We start from the raw sequence: 18,042 nt of genomic DNA, 5'->3' as shown, positions 1-18,042 counted from the left end.
CTCTCAGTCTACTCTCTATCTTGATGAGTTCAATTGTTTTAATTTTTAGCTCCCACAAATGAGTGAGAACATGCGAAGTCTGTCTTTCTGTGCCTGGCTCATTGTACTTAACATAATTGTCCTCTAGTTCCATCCATGTTGTTGCAAATGACAGAATCTTATTCTTTTTCATGGCCGAAGAGTACTCCATTGTGTATATGTACTACATTTTCTTTATCCCTTCATCTGTTGATGCACACTTAGGTTGCTTCCAAATCTTGGCTATTATGAATAGTGCTGAAATAAATATGGGAATGCAGATATCTCTTTGATATACTAATTTTCCCTCTCTTGGGTATATACCCAGCAGTGGGATTGCTGGATCATATGATAGTTCTATTTTTAATTTTTTGAGGGACCTCCATATTGTTCTCCATAGTGAATATATTAATTTACATTCCCACCAACAGAGTAAGAGTGTTCCCTTTTCCCCAAATTCTTGAAAGCATTTGTTATTGCCTGTCTTTTGCATAAAAGCCATTTTAATGGGGTAAGATGATATATTTTTGTAGTTTTGATTTCAATTTCTGTCATGATCAATGATATTGAGCATCTTTTCATATACCTATTTGACATTTATATATGTTCTTTTTTGTTTTTGCTCATTTTTTGAGACAGGGTCTCACTCTGTCACCCAGGCTGGAGTGCAGTGGTATGATCATGGCTTAATGTAGTGTTGACTGCCAGGGTTCAAGCAATCCTCCCACCTCAGCCTCCTGAGTAGCTGGGACCACAGTCATGCATCACCATGCCCAGGTAGTTTTTAAAATTATTTGCTATGTTGTTCAGGTTGGTCTTGAACTCCTGGGCTCAAGTGGCCCACCCGTCTTGGCTCCCCAAAGTTCTGGAATTACATGTGTCAGCCACTGCGCCTGACCTGTGTGCCTTCTTTTGAGAACTGTCTGTTCAGATCTTTTGCCTATTTAAATAATTGGATTGTTAGTTTTTTTCTTGTAGAGTTGTTTGAGCTCCTTATATATTCTGGTTATTAATCCCTTGTCAGTTATATAGTTTGCAAATATTTTCTTCCATTCTGTGGATTGTCTTTTCACTTTGTCCATTGTTTTCTTTACTGTGCAGAAACTTTTGAACTTGATGTGATACCACTTGTTCATTTTTGCTTTGGTTGCCTGAGCTTTTGGAGTATTACTCAAGAAATCTGTGCCAAGACCAATTTCCTGGAGAGTTTCCCTAATGTTTTCTTTCAGTAGTTTCGTGTCTTTGATTTAAGTCTTTAACCCATTTGGATTTGATTTTTGTATATAGTGCAAGAGAGGGTTCTAGTTTAACTATTCTGCCAATGACTTTGGGAGGCCAAGGTGGGCGGATCATGGGGGCAGGAGATCGAGACCATCCTGGCTAACACGGTGAAACTCCGTCACTACTAAAAGTACAAAAAAAAAATTAGCCAGGCGTGGTGGTGGGCACCTGTACTCCCAGCTACTTGGGAGGCTGAGGAGGAGAATGGTGTGAACCCGGGAGGTGGAGCTTGCAGTGAGCCCAGATCGCGCCACTGCACTCCAGCCTGAGCAACAGAGCTAGACTCCATCTCAAAAAAAAAAAAAATCTGCCAATGAATATCTAGTTTTCCCAGCACAATTTGTTGAAGAGACTGTACTCTCCCCCATGTATATTCTTGGCACCTTCATTGAAAATGAGTTAATTGTAAATGTATGGATTTATTTCTGGGTTCTCTATTCTGTTCCATTGGTCTATGTGTCTGTTTTATGCCAGTACCATGCTGTTTTGTTTATAATTGCTCTGTACTATAATTTAAAGTCAGGTGATGTGATTCTTCCAGTTTTGTTCTTTTTGCTCAGGATGGCTTTTGGTATTCTGGGTCTTTTATGGTTTCATGTAAATTTTAGGATTTTTTTTCTATTTCTGTGAAGAAAGTTATTAGTATTTCAATAGGGATTGCATTGAATCTGTAGATTGCTTTGTGAAGTATGGGTATTTTAACAATATTTACTCTTCCAATAAATGAACATGGACTATCTTTCCATTTTTTTTTTGGTGTCCTCTTTAATTTTTTTGCATCTATGTTTTATAGTTTTCATTGTAGAGATCTTTCACTTCTTCTGTTATGTTTATTCCCAGTTATTTTATTTTATTTGTAGCTATTGTAAATGGGATTACATTCTTGATTTTCTTCTTTAGATTGTTCATTTTTGTCATTTAGAAATGCTACTGACTTTTGTAGTTTGATTTTGTATGCTGTGACTCTGAATTTGTTGATCAGTTCTAATAGTTTTTTGGTGGAGTCCTTAGGTTTTTCCAAATATAAGAGCTAATCATCTGCAAACAAGAAACAGTAATAATTTTACTTCTTTCCAATTTGGATCCCTTTTATTGTTTTTCTCTTGTCTGAATTGCTCTAGCTAGGACTTCCAGTACTATGTTGAGTAACAGTGTTGGAAGTGGACATTCTTGTCTTGTTCCAGATCTTAGAAGAAAGGCTTTCAGCTTTTCCCTGTCCAGGATGATACTGGCTGTGGGTCTGTTGCATATGGTTTTCATTGTGTTGTGGTATGTTCCTTCTATATCTAGTTTTTTTTTGAGGGTTTCTTTTTATCACAGGGATGTTGAATTTTATTAAATCCTTTTCAGCATCAATTGAAATTATCATATGGTTTTTGTCCTTCATTCTGTTGATATGATGTGTCACATTGATTGATTTGCATACATTGAACCATGTTGGCATCCTTGGGATAAATCCCACTTAGACATGATGAATGGTCTTTTTCATAGGATGAGTTTGGAAATACTACAGCCTTCTCTGTTTTTTTGGAATAGTTTGAGTAGGATTGATAGTAATTCTGCCTTCAATGTTTGGTAAAATTAATCAGTGAAGCCAGTGAAGCCATTGAATCCAGGCTTTTCTTTGCTAGGAGATGTTTTATTACGGCTTCAATTTCATTTATCCATTTCTTCTAGGTTTTTTTTTTTTTTTTGAGATGGAATCTTGCTCTGTCACCCAGACTGCAGCGTGGTACAATCTCAGCTCACTGCAACCTCTGCCTCCCAGGTTCAAGTGATTTTCCTGCCTCAGCCTCTAGAGTAGCTGGAAGTACAGGTGCATGCCACCATGCCTGGCTAATTTTTGTATTTTTAGTAGAGATGGGGTTTCACCATGTTGACCAGGCTGGTCTTGAACTACTGACCTCAGGTGATCACCTGCCTTGGCTTCCCAAAGTGTTGGGATTACAGGCATGAGCCACGGTGCCCAGCCATTTCTTCCAGGTTTTTCAATTTATTGGAATATAGTTGGTCATAATAGTTTCTAATGATTCTTTGAATTTCCACAGTATCAGTTATAGTGTCTCCTTTTTAATCTCTGGTTTTATGTATTTGAATCTTCTCTCTTTTTTCTTAGTCTGGTTAAGTGTTTGTTGATTTTGTTGGTCTTTTAAAAATATTAACTTTTCATTTCATTGATATTTTATATTTTTAAATTTCAATTTCATTTATTTCTGCTCCGATCTTTGCTATGTTTCCTTCTACTAATTTTGGTTTTGGCTTGCTCTTGCTTTTCTAATTATTTAAGATGCATTATTAGGTTGTTTATTTGAAGCTTTTCTACTTTTTTTGATGTAGGTGCTTTTATCTATAAACTTACCTCTTAGTACTGTAGTACTGTTTTTACTGTATCCCATAGGTTTTTTTTTTTTTTTTTTTTTTTTTTTTTTTGAGACGGAGTCTCGCTCTGTTGCCCAGGCTGGAGTGCAGTGACGCGATCTCGGCTGACTGCAAGCTCCGCCTCCCAGGTTCACGCCATTCTCCCGCCTCAGCCTCCCGAGTAGCTGGGACTACAGGCGCCTGCCTTCACACCCGGCTAATTTTTGTTTTTTGTATTTTTAGTAGAGACGGGGTTTCACCGAGTGCGCCCGGCCTGTACCCTAGGTTTTGGTTTGACTTTAAACTTTTTCTTTTCTCGAAAACTCAGTGTCATGGTACCGGCTTCTTGTGCTTTGGGCAGTGAGACCCTTTTACTTGATAACAGTGGTAGCTGGGACAAGTTGGCAATGTAAATAAATAAACAACATCTAGATTGGAAAGGAAGAAGTACAGTTATCTTTATGTACAGATGACATGATCTTGCATTTAGAAAATCGTAAGAAATTTACTAAAAAGTATTAGGACTCATGAACAAACTTAAGAATGTAACACTATATAAGATTGGTATACAAAAATAACTGTATTTCTTTACCAATAAATCAAGAATCCAAAAATGGAATTAAAAAAATAAATCTTGTTACAATAGAATTAAAGCTGGGGAAGCTTAAACTTGAACACTAAAAACTACAATACATGGTTAGCGTTGGAAACACCCAGATACCATCCCTGAGCCTTCTCTCCTTGGCTCTGAGGGCTTTACCTTCACGGGGTGAGGAAAGGGGTTGCATTCTTGGCTTTTACATTATATTAGGTGGGTTCGGGTTGAGGTATCTGCATTTCAAATGAGTATTACAATCTCTACTTTTATGGATAAGAGACTGAGGCCCACCAAGAGAGGGAATGACAGTCCATATCCTGGAAGGCGAATTGTCAGGCACTGATTTCCGCTATTTAACCCCTGCCAATCATCATGTATTTAAAGGATCCCCAGATACCATACCAATAGGTGTTCAAGAGAGAGGCCTGTAATCTAGGCGTCTGAGAAAACAAGGCTAGAGATTCCAATATTGGAGACAACAGGGCTCTGGGAAGATTAAGGTTGAGTTTTCTGGATCTGCAGAATAGAGTCACTGAGGACCAATTGCAAGATCAGAGGAGATGAAAGAACAAGTCAGGGCATGCTTAGGAAAAGAGAATACCAGGGATAGGTTTTAGGCAAGAGTCACACTGAGGAAGGGCAGGTTCTTGGCGTCGTTTAGGAAGAAATCCAAAAGCAAGCCTGTGGTGGAAGAAAGCAGCTCTACGGAGGCATTGGCGGTGTTACAGCACAGCGTCCACTCCGGCAGGGCAGGGAGCCCTCCGTGGGTTGTGCTCCCAGAGCAGCAGCCTAGGGGTGGCTTGTAGTCATTTTTATAATTCACTTTTAATGGCATGCTAATTAAGGGGCGGGTTATTCAGAAATAGCTAGAAATGGGCAGTAACTTCCATCTGTTTCCATGGCAAGGGGTGGGGAATTCTCGTGATGACATGGCATTGGCAAACTGTCATGGCACTGGTGGGAGCGTCTTCTGGTGATCTGAGGCGTGAGGTGCTTTCGCTGCCTCTCCCAGGTTCCTGCGTGCCTCTTACCTGAAAGCCCATCACACCCCCATCTGCCCACCTACAAACGTCACTGCCCTTTCACCCCATCCCCGTTTCACACGCACTCCCACATCAACCCTGAGCATTCAAGCCTGCATTTCCCTGTTAGGAACCTCGGTGGTAGCCGGAGCTCTGAGAAACCCCTAGGCAGAACTCCTTGCCTAGTTTGTGGCAGACATCAGGGAAGGAAAGGCAAATTTCAGGTCTTTCTCACAATAAATAAATAAAGATAGGTAGATTTGATTGATGGATGGATGGATGAAACCTGGGAGTCTACGGGCAAATATTTATCAGACACTGGAAGTGTAAGTTGTCACAAAGATTATGGAGTGCACCTGTCTTATGACCCTGTTATTTTATCCTAGTATGTGCACTAGAGCATATTTTCTAACAGTGTAAATTGAAGGCTCACAAATTAGTTTAGTGAGAGAAAAGATAACGGATTGGAAGAGAATTACCATATTCATTAGTTGTGTTTTAAAATTTTTAAAGTAAAATAGAGACATTATTTTTTTCATGCTTTCGAATGCATCTATAAAAAATAGACTTGAGGGCTGGGCGCAGTGGCTCACGCTTGTAATCCCAGCACCTTGGGAGGCCGAGGAGGGCGGATAACGAGGTCAGGAGTTGGAGACCAGCCTGACTAACATGGTGAAAACCCGTCTCTACTAAAAATACAAAAATTAGGCGAGTGTGGTGGCACGCGCCTGTAATCCCAGGTACTTAGGAGGCTGAGGCAGGAGAATCGCTTGAACCCGGGAAGCGGAGGTTGCAGTGAGCCGAGATCGCACCATTGCACTCCAGCCTGGGCGACAGAGTGAGACTCCTTCTCAAAAAAAAAAAAAAAAAAAAAAACAACTTATTCATAGCATAGACCAATTGGCCTCTATTGAAATTTCTCCATTATTTTCACAATGTCCCAGGCTGTGAAACCAGGATTTAATAAAGAACCAGAATGCCACATCTGTGTCACCTGGGTAGGGACCAGTCCTGATACATTAAGTCCGGGTCTCTGGGTAACTGGACTCAACTGCTGGGCAAAACAGAATGTCCGGCTTGGGTTCCTAACGGGGTACCGCAAAGTCTCATGGGAATTGTAGTGTCACCTTCCAATGATGTTACCATCAAGGACCTTGGGAACCAGCTTTTCTCTCTGCGCTTGCGCCGCCCGGCCCACTCCGCCATTTTCCTCCGGAAGTGCGGCACCCAGAGGCGGTCCTGTAGCCGGGCCGGCTTGGGGCTTGGTTCTATGTCCCTGCGGGTCGGTGCAAGGGCGAAGAGGAACCCGTGGGCCTCAGGGGATCCCGGGGGGCCGGACCAGTGTTCCCTAGTTGTGGGAGCAGACGCGTGGGCACATTGCGGGCGGGCAGGGCCTGAAGTGCAGGTGCGGGCAGTGGACCCTGGCGGGGGCTGGGAGGACAGGCGTGGGGTCCCGGCAGTGAAACGGGTTCTAGAGGCGCAGGAGCAGGTAGGAGAGGCCGGTGGCCCTGGGCCCGGAGTCTGCAGGCCGCGCTCCTGTCCTGCCGCTGAGGGACCCGGTTACCAACCTGCATGACGCTCAGTTTGCCCATCTGTCCCAGTGGTAACACACAGTTCTCGGGAGACGTTCCCCATTCCCAGAGGAGTAGTGTGAAACGCGTGCGCCTCTAGTCTTAAACTTGGCGTTTGTATTAGTTGGGTTTCCTGGTGTCTCTTTAGCAAGTGAAGTTTCTGGTTCCCTTCTTCACTGTGTGACCTGCCTAGTCCTCCTGGGTCGCATTTACAGAAGTTTATACGAGACCTAGTTTCCAGGGAAGAACTCACTGATTCCGCGAGGGAGATGGCTTAATGGATGATGGTCGTCAGCCTTAAGGATACTTCAGTCTTAACTGTGTGTTACAAAGTTTGAAAGGGAGGGTTCCCTATGAATAAGAAGCACACTTGAAAGAACAGCCATCTGGTCTAACCTCTCACTGGTGCTTCAGAGGAGGAAAAAAGGTCACAGGTGAAGATCCCAGTTTTCCTTGCTCAGGAAATATTAATTCTACTCCCTAGAATGCACAAGATTTGCAAAGACTAGGTGATAGTAGAAGGTTTGGACGAACTTTCAGAAGGTTGAGGTGAATTCAGCTAAGAAGAACAGGCAAGGACTTAGGAAATATTCCTTATTTGAAGGGGCCTGAAAGTGTGGTCTGGGGTACAGCAGTGACCTGTCATACTTGAGAGGATTAAAATACTCTCCAAACACAGTCCCATTCCTTCAACCTTAGCTCGTTTTTTCCAGCGTCTGAGATATATTAAACCTAGTCCATCCCCAAATTTAACATTAGATTGCGAAGTTCTATTGATTGTATTTGATTTGTAATTTAACATTTTCTCCCCCTACGTAATTTTGTTAAAAACACAGAAGTGAATTCTGTTCACTTAGGTGTAACAGTTAATACTTGCTGTTTAAGGAACTAATTAAACCTTACTGGCTTATAAAAAACAACCACCATTTTATTTGTTCGAAGTTCTGTGGATCTGCACTTTGGTGTGGTGGGTTCAGCTGGGTAGTTAATATATTTGTGTTGCCTGGATCACAAAAAGGCCTCAGTCACCTGGTGCCTTGACTGAGCCTGGTTGGTTTAAGATAGTTTACTTCACAATCTGGTGGTTTGTGGTGACTCTTGGCTAGGCCCTGTGTCTCCAACAGGGTAGCTCCAGACCTCTTCACAATTTCCCCCAAAAAGGAAAGAACCAATGGATATTTGCATCACATTTTCCATTTTCCATTCACTGGACAAGTCAGATGGAAAAGCCCAATTTATTGTCAGAGCATAATATGAGGGCTTGGATAGAAGGAAAGGTGTTATTGGGAAACATGAGTAGAATGGTGTACTGCAGGAAATACATATTATGTACATTTTAAAAAACGTAATTGTAGGCCAAAATTGCTGGTTTGCAAGATGCACTTTCCATGATGTTCAGGTATAGAAAAGCAAGATGTACTGTCATGGGAACACTCATATGAAGTTATTTGTGGAATCTACATATTAATAGGAAAATAGTTAATACAGCCCAGTATATTTCTATAACATTTATTTTAGTGAACTTATAATGTTTCTTTGTATTAAATTATTAGATTATATCTTTAGATAATATTGTTACTAAATTAGTAGGTAATATATATTTTTATTCAAAAATAAATTGTGCATCTAATGTCTACCAATTAATGTACTTGTAGATGTATCTTATCTTAACTTGAGTCTTTGCTGCCCCTAATGAGGTGTGAAGGACTCTTCTCCCCTGGGGAAGTTTTTCTTTTTCAGGAGGGAGGAGGGCTTTCCCAGGTAATGTGTCTAGAGTGTTGGGCAGAAGAATCTGGGACCACACCACACCAGTTCTCTCCTTAATCCACGTCATTTGCCTTCTATCCCAGCTATGTTTCCAGTGTCCTCTGGGTGTTTCCAAGAGCAACAAGAAATGAATAAATCTCTGGTGAGTTGTTTATTTGTTCTTCACTTTGTTTTACACTGTATTTTCTGAGTTTATGGGTGTCTGTGAATTAAAAAGGAAAAGTAGAAATAAGTAAAACTCAGGTTGAAGGAAATATACATAAATAAGATAAAGCTGACCTGTAGATATAGGCAGGTTATAAGAGCTTAGAGTTGTCTAAGTTGAGTGCAAATTTTCCTCTGATCTTTCTGATGCCGAGACAAAAAAGGCAGTCATGTTTGTTATGTGATTGGAATGGAACCCGAGAAGAGAGCATGCTGTGTTCTTGTGGGACAGGAAAGCTTGCGTGCACCAAGTCTGAACCACCACCTTCATTGGTGACATAGATTATGTGCTGGAACATATTTCACACCGGCCTGGCAGTAAACACTTGTAGTGTTGTGCAGTGGAAACGGTCATCTTCCGCTAAAGCACGGCGTGTTGTGCAGCGGAAATGGTCATCTGCTGCTAAAACACAGCTTCCATCGTAATGTATGCTCCTTACTCAAAGAGTGTGGTCCCAAACAGCCTTTGGGAGGTCCTCCTTGATTCATGGATGAAACCTGGAACATCTTGAGGACTGAGTTAACCATAGGTCCTTAAATAACTCTCCACACGTTTTTCTTAGTTTATCTCTACATGCAGGGTGTGCAGCAGCCTGTTCAAAGTCATATTTTCTGGGAAATATTTCCAGTGTTTATTTGCACTTTAGCCCACTCTGTGTAGCCTTATTTCTTCTAAACTCACCATTAATCTGAATAATAGTCAAATTTAGGGGGACTGTATTTGCCTTACTCGAGTCTTCTACCATAGTTGAAACTGTCGTACCCGAGTGAGTTAGAGAGAAATGCCACGCATTGAGACGAATTCAGGAGTCCTTTACTAGCCAGCGACTGAGACATGGCTAACGCACGAAATTCTCTCGGCCCTGAAGAAGGGACTAGATTTTCTTTTATACTTTGGTTTAGAGAGGGGAGGGGGGATTCTAGCTGCAGCAACTTTACAGAAGAAAAAAACAGACAAAAAACTTAGAAAAACAGATGGTTACAGGAAAACAAACTGTTCCTGGTGTAGGGTCTTTAAATTCACCACAAAGTGATAGGTGAGGGGGCTCTGGGCATTATCTGCCGGACAAATGTGGGGGCTTTATGATACTATCTCTGAGTAAATTGCTGGGAACTGGGGACATCTCTTGTCTCAGCACTTTATCAGTTAATTGCACGCTTTGATATGTTGAAAATCAGCTTGCACAAGTTAAAGTCCTTGAGGAAAGGGGGTGGGTAAGGAGTCCTTGATGTCTTGTTAATGAAGGAGCCAAATGGAGTTTGTCTGGTTTTCTCAGCTAAGGGAGAGTCTATTCATATTAAAAACAAGGTTAGCTGTCTAAGGAAGAGTCTATTCATGTTAATACAACGTTGGGTATTACAAAACGTCTGTTCATGATCTGGAAATTCTTCTGTGTTAGTTCTGTTAAAAGAAAAACTTTAAAGGAGTTTAATTTAGCAATAAAGCGATTCATGAATCGGACAGTCCCCAGAATCACAGCAGATTCACAGAGACTCCAGTGCAGTCATGTGGTGGAAGAAGATTTATAGACAAAAGGGAAGTGGCATACCGAAATCGGAAGTGAGGTACAGAAACAACTCAGCGTTTGCCTTGTTTGAACACATTTTGAACATTTGGCAGTGCCTGAGTGGTTGAAGTTTGGCCATTGGGATTGGCCAAGATGTAGCTGTTGTTCCAGGTGCATACTCTTAAGTTAGTTTTTCATTCTTGTATACCTATTAAGGTAGGTTGCAGTTCACCCACAAGGACTCATATATAGAATTATGGAGTCCTTCTCAGGCCATACTTAGTTCACTTTAACAATGCCTTCCCTTTGGTTATTTTCTCAATTTTGAGAGATTGGCCGAAACTTCAGTCACTGGTGTCACTATTACCATTGCAAATGTACTTACTTGGTTTAGAAACCCACTGGGAAATAGACCAGTGAGATTTGAAAAGGTGGAACAAGGACTTGAGTAGAAGGTATCTTCTTATGCTGGAACATCCTGTTTACAGGAGAAAAACAAAACCTGGTTTGTTCTAGGATTTATGTGTTTCCCTAAAGTCTTAGTTTCATTATGTTACATTTAGCATGAGTGACTCCATTTTGGTTTGGTTTGGTTTGGTCTGTTGGGACCTATTGCATGAGCTTAGTTCAAAACAATGGCCTCCCATAATTTTGCTTTAAAAATTCCTCCTTTTTGCTGGGTGTGGTGGCTCACACCTGTAATCCCAGCACTTTGGGAGCCTGAGGTGGGCAGATCACGAGGTCAGGAGATTGAGACCATCCTTGCTAATATGGTGACACCCCATCTCTACTAAAAATACAAAAAATTAGCCAAGTGTGGTGGCGGGTGCCTGTATTCCCAGCTACTCAGGAGGCTGAGGCAGGAGAATGGCCTGAACCTGGGAGGCAGAGCTTGCAGTGAGCCAAGATCATGCCACTGCACTCCACTCTGGGGGACAGACCAAAACTCTGTCTTAGAAAAAAAAAATCCTCCTTTTCAGTCAAGTTCTCACTTAGTTGAGAGTGTGACCAAAATGTAGGGCCTTAGCATCACTCTTAGTTACCATTGTTTTGGGTTCCAGTTTTAGCATGTCATTCCCATTGTTTTGGGTTTCTGGTTTAGCACATCACTCCCATTGTTTTGGGTTCCGGTTTTAGCACGTCATTCCCATTGTTTTGGGTTTCTGGTTTAGCACGTCACTCTCATTGTTTTGGGTTCCTGTTTTAGCACGTCACTCCCATTGTTTTGGGTTCTGGTTTAGCACGTCACTCACATTGTTTTGGGTTCTGGTTTTAGCACCTCACTCCCATTGTTTTGGGTTTCCAGGTTTTAGCACGTCACTCCCATTGTTTTGGGTTTCTGGTTTAGCACGTCACTCCCATTGTTTTGGGTGTCTGGTTTTATCACGTCACTCCCATCGTTTTGGGTTTCTGGTGTAGCAGGACACTCCCATTGTTTTGGGTTTCTGGTTTTAGCACTTCACTCCCATTGTTTTGGGTTTCTGGTTTAGCAGGACCCTCCCATTGTTTTGGGTTTCTGGTTTTAGCATGTCACTCCCATTGTTTTGGGTTCCGGTTTTAGCACGTCACTCCCATTGTTTTGGGTTCCGGTTTAGCACGTCATTCCCATTGTTTTGGGTTCAGGTTTTAGCACATCACTCCCATTGTTTTGGGTATCTGGTTTTAGCATGTCACTCCCATTGTTTTGTGTATCTGGTTTTAGCACCTCACTCCCATTGTTTTGGGTTTCCAGGTTTTAGCACGTCACTCCCATTGTTTTGGGTTTCTGGTTTATCATGTCACTCTCATTGTTTTGGGTTTCTGGTTTAGCAGGACGCTCCCATTGTTTTGGGTTTCTGGTTTTACACGTCACTCCCATTGTTTTGGGTTTCTGGTTTAGCAGGACACTCCCATTGTTTTGGGTTTCTGCTTTAGCAGGTCACTACCATTGTTTTGGGTTCCGGTTTAAGCACATCACTCCCATTGTTTTGGGTTCCGGTTTTAGCACATCACTCCCATTGTTTTGGATTTCTGGTTTAGCAGGTCACTCCCATTGTTTTCGGTTCTGGTTTAAGCACATCACTCCCGTTGTTTAGGGTTCTGGTTTTAGCACCTCACTCCCATTGTTTGGGTTTCTGGTTTTGCAGGTCACTCCCATTGTTTTGGGTTCCAGTTTAAGCACATCACTCCCATTGTTTTCGTTTCCGGTTTTAGCACGTCACTCTCATTGTTTTGGGTTCCAGTTTTAGCAAGTCACTCCCATTGTTTTGGGTTTCTGGTTTAGCATGTCACTCCCATTGTTTTGGGTTTCCAGTTTAGCATGTCACTCATAGGTTATGGTGGCCTTATGGTTGCACATTTCTTTTAATCTCTTGTCATTCCAGTTGAAGAGATACCATTTGACATTTTAGAGATGGCTGCATGCAAACTCTTGAAACATTTGAGTAAGTACAGTACACCAGGGAGACTCTTATGACTATTGGGATAACACCAAGATGTGGTATATGCTCCTTACTCAGGGTCCCCATAAATCAAACCACCAAAAATCAAATAGATTAAAGAATGAATTAGATAAAGGGTTTACTTGCTTAACTAAGTGGTTTTTTTTTGTTAATTCCCTACAACCAAATCTTTATAATACCCCATGTTTTCTCCACATGCTGTAAGTGTTAGCAGCTGCACAGATACTTAAGATAAGAGTCTCATGATAGTAGAGAAGTCTTGATCTGTGATCTTGGGAAAAGCTGTTCACATTAAGGATGCCATCTTCTTCTGGGGGGAACTGTCCGTGTTAGCTTTACCTTAAGGGTTCCAATAGGCATATGGTTCTGAGTGTGGAGGGACCCTTCTGAGTTGTGAGACTATGAACCCAAAGTTTAAGGTTTTAAAGTTTTGTTGTCATGTGGATGGCGAGGGCAGTCCTTCTCTGATGTTCTCAGAAGATCCAGTCATCAGATTCTAGATTTTGAAGGGTTTGACTGTCCTCAGTGAACCATAAAAGGCTTTCTTTACCTGGTGAAAATACACTTCAGGGTAATAATCTACTGTTTTAACATCAACTCTCTCGCATGGAAGAGCTTTTATACAATCAGAAAACATGCACTGAAAATGACAACTGAATGAAATCCCTTTATAAAATGTTTAAATGGCCCATCAGATAACCAAATGTACCTGAAGTTTTGATTGTTTTCCTAGGAATATAGGTTTCACAAACCAAACATTGGTTATAAACTATTTTAGCAGTTTAGAAATCACCACACCAATATATTTAATTTGGATCGTTTTCTCTTTCTGTGATGAGTTATGGAATGCAGAACTTTTAATAACAAAAGTTTTTAGGACTTAAGAAGGATAAGGTGGCCATCCTGGTTCTTTATAGGTCTGTGCTTAATTAACATCAGACTTACATCCTCTTGAATACCAGCTGTTTCTCCAAATTAGGTGCATGGCACTGGTAACTGATGAGTAGTTATAGGTAATTTGATTTAGACCATGGAGTTTATTTAAATTATATATCTAAACAATTTCAATATTGGTGATTTAGCATGAAAATGTGGCATAATATTTCCTTGGTATACAATTTTTGTTTTACTTGGGTTAGCAGTTTTACAAACCAGTTGGTCTTTTTATTAAATTTTTGATATTTTTTTTTTTGAGACAGAGTCTCACTCTGTTACCTAGGTTGGAGTGCAGTGGCACAATCTTGGCTCACTGCAACCTCTGCCTCCTGGGCTCAAGCAATTCTCTTGCCACAGCCTCCCGAGTAGCTGGGATTACAGGCACATACCACCACACCCAGCTAATTTTTGTATTTTTAGTAGAGGTGGGGTTTCACCTTTGGCCAGGCTGGTCTCAAACTCCTGACCTCAAGTGATCCACCGGCCTTGGCCTCCTAAAGTGCTGGGATTGCCGACATGAGCCGCTGCACCCAGCCTAACTGTTGAGAATTCTTAGCCAGTCCAATTCTTGGGGTATCGGGGAACTTATGGGGAATTTTTACCCATGATATTAAAGTTATTAGAAATCTGTGTTCACGAGTGTTTTTCAGGGTCATTTTCATTCTTTCATGAATCTTCTAAGAGACACCATACTCTAGAATTTTGCATGCTTGTGAAGTTTTTAGAAACTGCATCACTATTAAGCAATTAACTGTGAAATGACTTTAGTTATAGTTAAAGACAATTGACAAGGAAATTTGGTTATTTCTGTGGTCTACAATAACTTAATAACCATAATTAGGGTGGATGTGGTGGCTCATGCCTGTAATCCCAGCACTTTGGGAGGCCGAGGTGGAAGGATCATGAGGTCAGGAGATCGTGACCATCCTGGCTAACACGGTGAAATCCATCTTTACTAAAAATACAAAAATTAGCCTGGCATGGTGGTGGGTGCCTGTAGTCCCAGCTACTCGGGAGGCTGAGGCAGGAGAATGGCATGAACCCGGGAGGCGGAAGTTGCAGTGAGCCGAGATTGCGCCACTGTACTCCAGCCTGGGTGACAGAGCAAGACTCCATCTCAGAAAAAAAAAAAATACAAGAATTTTAGAAATCCTACACTATTTTAGAATGGATTGATGACACACACTAAATATAACCTGAGGAAGGTTCCACATTATTTTTTATTTTGACAGTGCTACCCATGTGACTTAACATGTTAAATAGTCCTGTTTACCTCTCTTTTGGGTGCTTCAGGGGTCTCTGTAGTATCCCAAAATTAGAGGTCAGAAAAGACAATTTTGAAGTTGAAATTTGATTTTGGGAAGCCTATTAAATATATTAAAGGTTTAAACACTTGATGTTATGAAATAGAATTCCACGTCACCGTAAGTCATTCATTTACCAAAAATCATGACAAAAAATTTTTATTATTTTTTTATTTTTATTTTTTATTATACTTTTAGTTTTAGAGTACATGTGCACATTGTGCAGGTTAGTTACATATGTATACATCTGCCATGCTGGTGTGCTGCACCCACTAACTCGTCATCTAGCATTAGGTATATCTCCCAATGCTATCCCTCCCCCCTCCCCCCACACCACAACAGTCCCCAGAGTGTGATATTCCCCTTCCTGTGTCCATGTGATCTCATTGTTCAATTCCCACCTATGAGTGAGAATATGCAGTGTTTGGCTTTACGTTCTTGCAATAGTTTACTGAGAATGATGATTTCCAATTTCATCCATGTCCCTACAAAGGACATGAACTCATCATTTTTTATGGCTGCATAGTATTCCATGGTGTATATGTGCCACATTTTCTTAATCCAGTCTATCATTGTTGGACATTTGGGTTGGTTCCAAGTCTTTGCTATTGTGAATAATGCCGCAATAAACCTACGTGTGCATGTGTCTTTATAGCAGCATGATTTATAGTCCATTGGGTATATACCCAGTAATGGGATGGCTGGGTCAAATGGCATTTCCAGTTCTAGATCCCTGAGGAATCGCCACACTGACTTCCACAATGATTGAACTAGTTTACAGTCCCACCAACAGTGTAAAAGTGTTCCTATTTCTCCACGTCCTCTCCAGCACCTGTTGTTTTCTGACTTTTTAATGATTGCCATTCTAACTGGTGTGAGATGGTATCTCATTGTGGTTTTCATTTGCATTTATCTGATGGCCAGTGATGATGAGCATTTTTTCATGTGTTTTTTGGCTGCATAAATGTCTTCTTTTGAGAAGTGTCTGTTCATGTCCTTCGCCCACTTTTTGATGGGATTGTTTGTTTTTTTCTTGTAAATTTGTTTGAGTTCATTGTAGATTCTGGATATTAGCCCTTTGTCAGATGAGTAGGTTGCGAAAATTTTCTGCCGTTTTGTAGGTTGCCTGTTCACTCTGATGGTGGTTTCTTTTGCTGTGCAGAAGTTCTTTAGTTTAATAAGATCCCATTTGTCAATTTTGGCATTTGTTGCCATTGCTTTTGGTGTTTTAGACATGAAGTCCTTGCCCATGCCTATGTCCTGAATGGTAATGCCTAGGTTTTCTTCTAGGGTTTTTATGGTTTTAGGTCTAACGTTTAAGTCTTTAATCCATCTTGAATTGATTTTTGTATAAGGTGTAAGGAAGGGATCCAGTTTCAGCTTTTTACATATGGCTAGCCAGTTTTCCCAGCACCATTTATTAAATAGGGAATCCTTTCCCCATTTCTTGTTTTTCTCAGGTTTGTCAAAGATCAGATAGTTGTAGATATGCGGCATTATTTCTGAGGGCTCTGTTCTGTTCCATTGATCTATATCTCTGTTTTGGTACCAGTACCATGCTGTTTTGGTTACTGTAGCCTTGTAGTATACTTTGAAATCAGGTAGTGTGATGCCTCCAGCTTTGTTCTTTTGGCTTAGGATTGACTTGGCGATGTGGGCTCTTTTTTGGTTCCATATGAACTTTAAAGTAGTTTTTTCCAATTCTGTGAAGAAAGTCATTGGTAGCTTGATGGGGATGGCATTGAATCTGTAAATTACCTTGGGCAGTATGGCCATTTTCAAGATATTGATTCTTCCTACCCATGAGCATGGAATGTTCTTCCATTTGTTTTTATCCTTTTTTATTTCCTTGAGCAGTGGTTTGTAGTTCTCCTTGAAGAGGTCCTTCACATCCCTTGTAAGTTGGATTCCTAGGTATTTTATTCTCTTTGAAGCAATTGTGAATGGGAGTTCACTCATGATTTGGCTCTCTGTTTGTCTGTTGTTGGTGTATAAGAATGCTTGTGATTTTTGTACATTGATTTTGTATCCTGAGACTTTGCTGAAGTTGCTTATCAGCTGAAGGAGATTTTGGGCTGAGACGATGAGGTTTTCTAGATATACAATCATGTCGTCTGCAAACAGGGACAATTTGACTTCCTCTTTTCCTAATTGAATACCCTTTATTTCCTTCTCCTGCCTAATTGCCCTGGCCAGAACTTCCAACACTATGTTGAATAGGTGTGGTGAGAGAGGCCATCCCTGTCTTGTGCCAGTTTTCAAAGGGAATGCTTCCAGTTTTTGTCCATTCAGAATGATATTGGCTGTGGGTTTGTCATAGATAGCTCTTATTATTTTGAAATGCGTCCCATCAATACCTAATTTATTGAGAGTTTTTAGCATGAAGGGTTGTTGAATTTTGTCAAAGGCCTTTTCTGAATCTATTGAGATAATCATGTGGTTTTTGTCTTTGGCTCTGTTTATATGCTGGATTACATTTATTGATTTGTGTATATTGAACCAGCCTTACATCCCAGGGATGAAGCCCACTTGATCAAGTTGCATAAGCTTTTTGATGTGTTAATGGATTCGGTTTGCCAGTATTTTATTGAGGATTTTTGCATCAATGTTCATCAAGGATATTGGTCTAAAATTCTCTTTTTTGGTTGTGTCTCTGCCTGGCTTTGGTGTCAGAATGATGCTGGCCTCATTAAATGAGTTAGGGAGGATTCCCTCTTTTTCTGTTGATTGGAATAGTTTCAGAAGGAATGGTACCAGTTCCTCCTTGTGCCTCTGGTAGAATTCGGCTGTGAATCCATCTGGTCCTGGACTCTTTTTGGTTGGTAAGCTATTGATTATTGCCACAATTTTGGCTCCTGTTATTGGTCTATTCAGAGATTCAACTTCCTGGTTTAGTCTTCGGAGAGTGTATGTGTCGAGGAATTTATCCATTTCTTCTAGATTTTCTAGTTTATTTGCGTAGAGGTGTTTGTATTATTCTCTGATGGTATTTAGTATTTTGCTGGGATTGGTGGTGATATCCCCTTTATCATTT

The 18,042-nt window shown here is 40.9% G+C and overlaps 1 long non-coding RNA gene across 1 annotated transcript in view, besides 2 other annotated features; it reads left to right on the top strand.

Moving 5' to 3' along the window:
- Positions 6,202-6,701: an enhancer, noted in NCBI's record as "H3K27ac hESC enhancer chr1:142890795-142891294 (GRCh37/hg19 assembly coordinates)". NCBI's record gives its function as "activates a minimal SCP1, AML or CMV promoter by ChIP-STARR-seq in primed H9 embryonic stem cells {active_cell/tissue: H9 hESC(primed)}" and the evidence as "EXISTENCE:reporter gene assay evidence [ECO:0000049][PMID:30033119]".
- The window catches only part of LOC105379566 (endogenous retrovirus group K member 18 Pol protein), a 61,897-nt gene continuing 50,342 nt past the window's right edge, over positions 6,488-18,042 (top strand). Inside the window, exons 1-4 of the long non-coding RNA XR_001756184.2 lie at positions 6,488-6,682; positions 7,042-7,282; positions 8,699-8,757; positions 12,691-12,750. This is a non-coding gene — a long non-coding RNA (endogenous retrovirus group K member 18 Pol protein). The remainder of the gene's footprint in view (positions 6,683-7,041; positions 7,283-8,698; positions 8,758-12,690; positions 12,751-18,042) is intronic.
- Positions 6,702-7,203: an enhancer, noted in NCBI's record as "H3K27ac hESC enhancer chr1:142890293-142890794 (GRCh37/hg19 assembly coordinates)". NCBI's record gives its function as "activates a minimal SCP1, AML or CMV promoter by ChIP-STARR-seq in primed H9 embryonic stem cells {active_cell/tissue: H9 hESC(primed)}" and the evidence as "EXISTENCE:reporter gene assay evidence [ECO:0000049][PMID:30033119]".

This window comes from Homo sapiens, unplaced genomic scaffold (assembly GCF_000001405.40).
Source record: "Homo sapiens unplaced genomic scaffold, GRCh38.p14 Primary Assembly HSCHRUN_RANDOM_CTG42".
Taxonomy (NCBI): domain Eukaryota; kingdom Metazoa; phylum Chordata; class Mammalia; order Primates; family Hominidae; genus Homo; species Homo sapiens.
The sequence above is the reverse complement of the archived record's forward strand: the minus strand, read 5'-3'. Positions and strand labels throughout refer to the sequence as shown.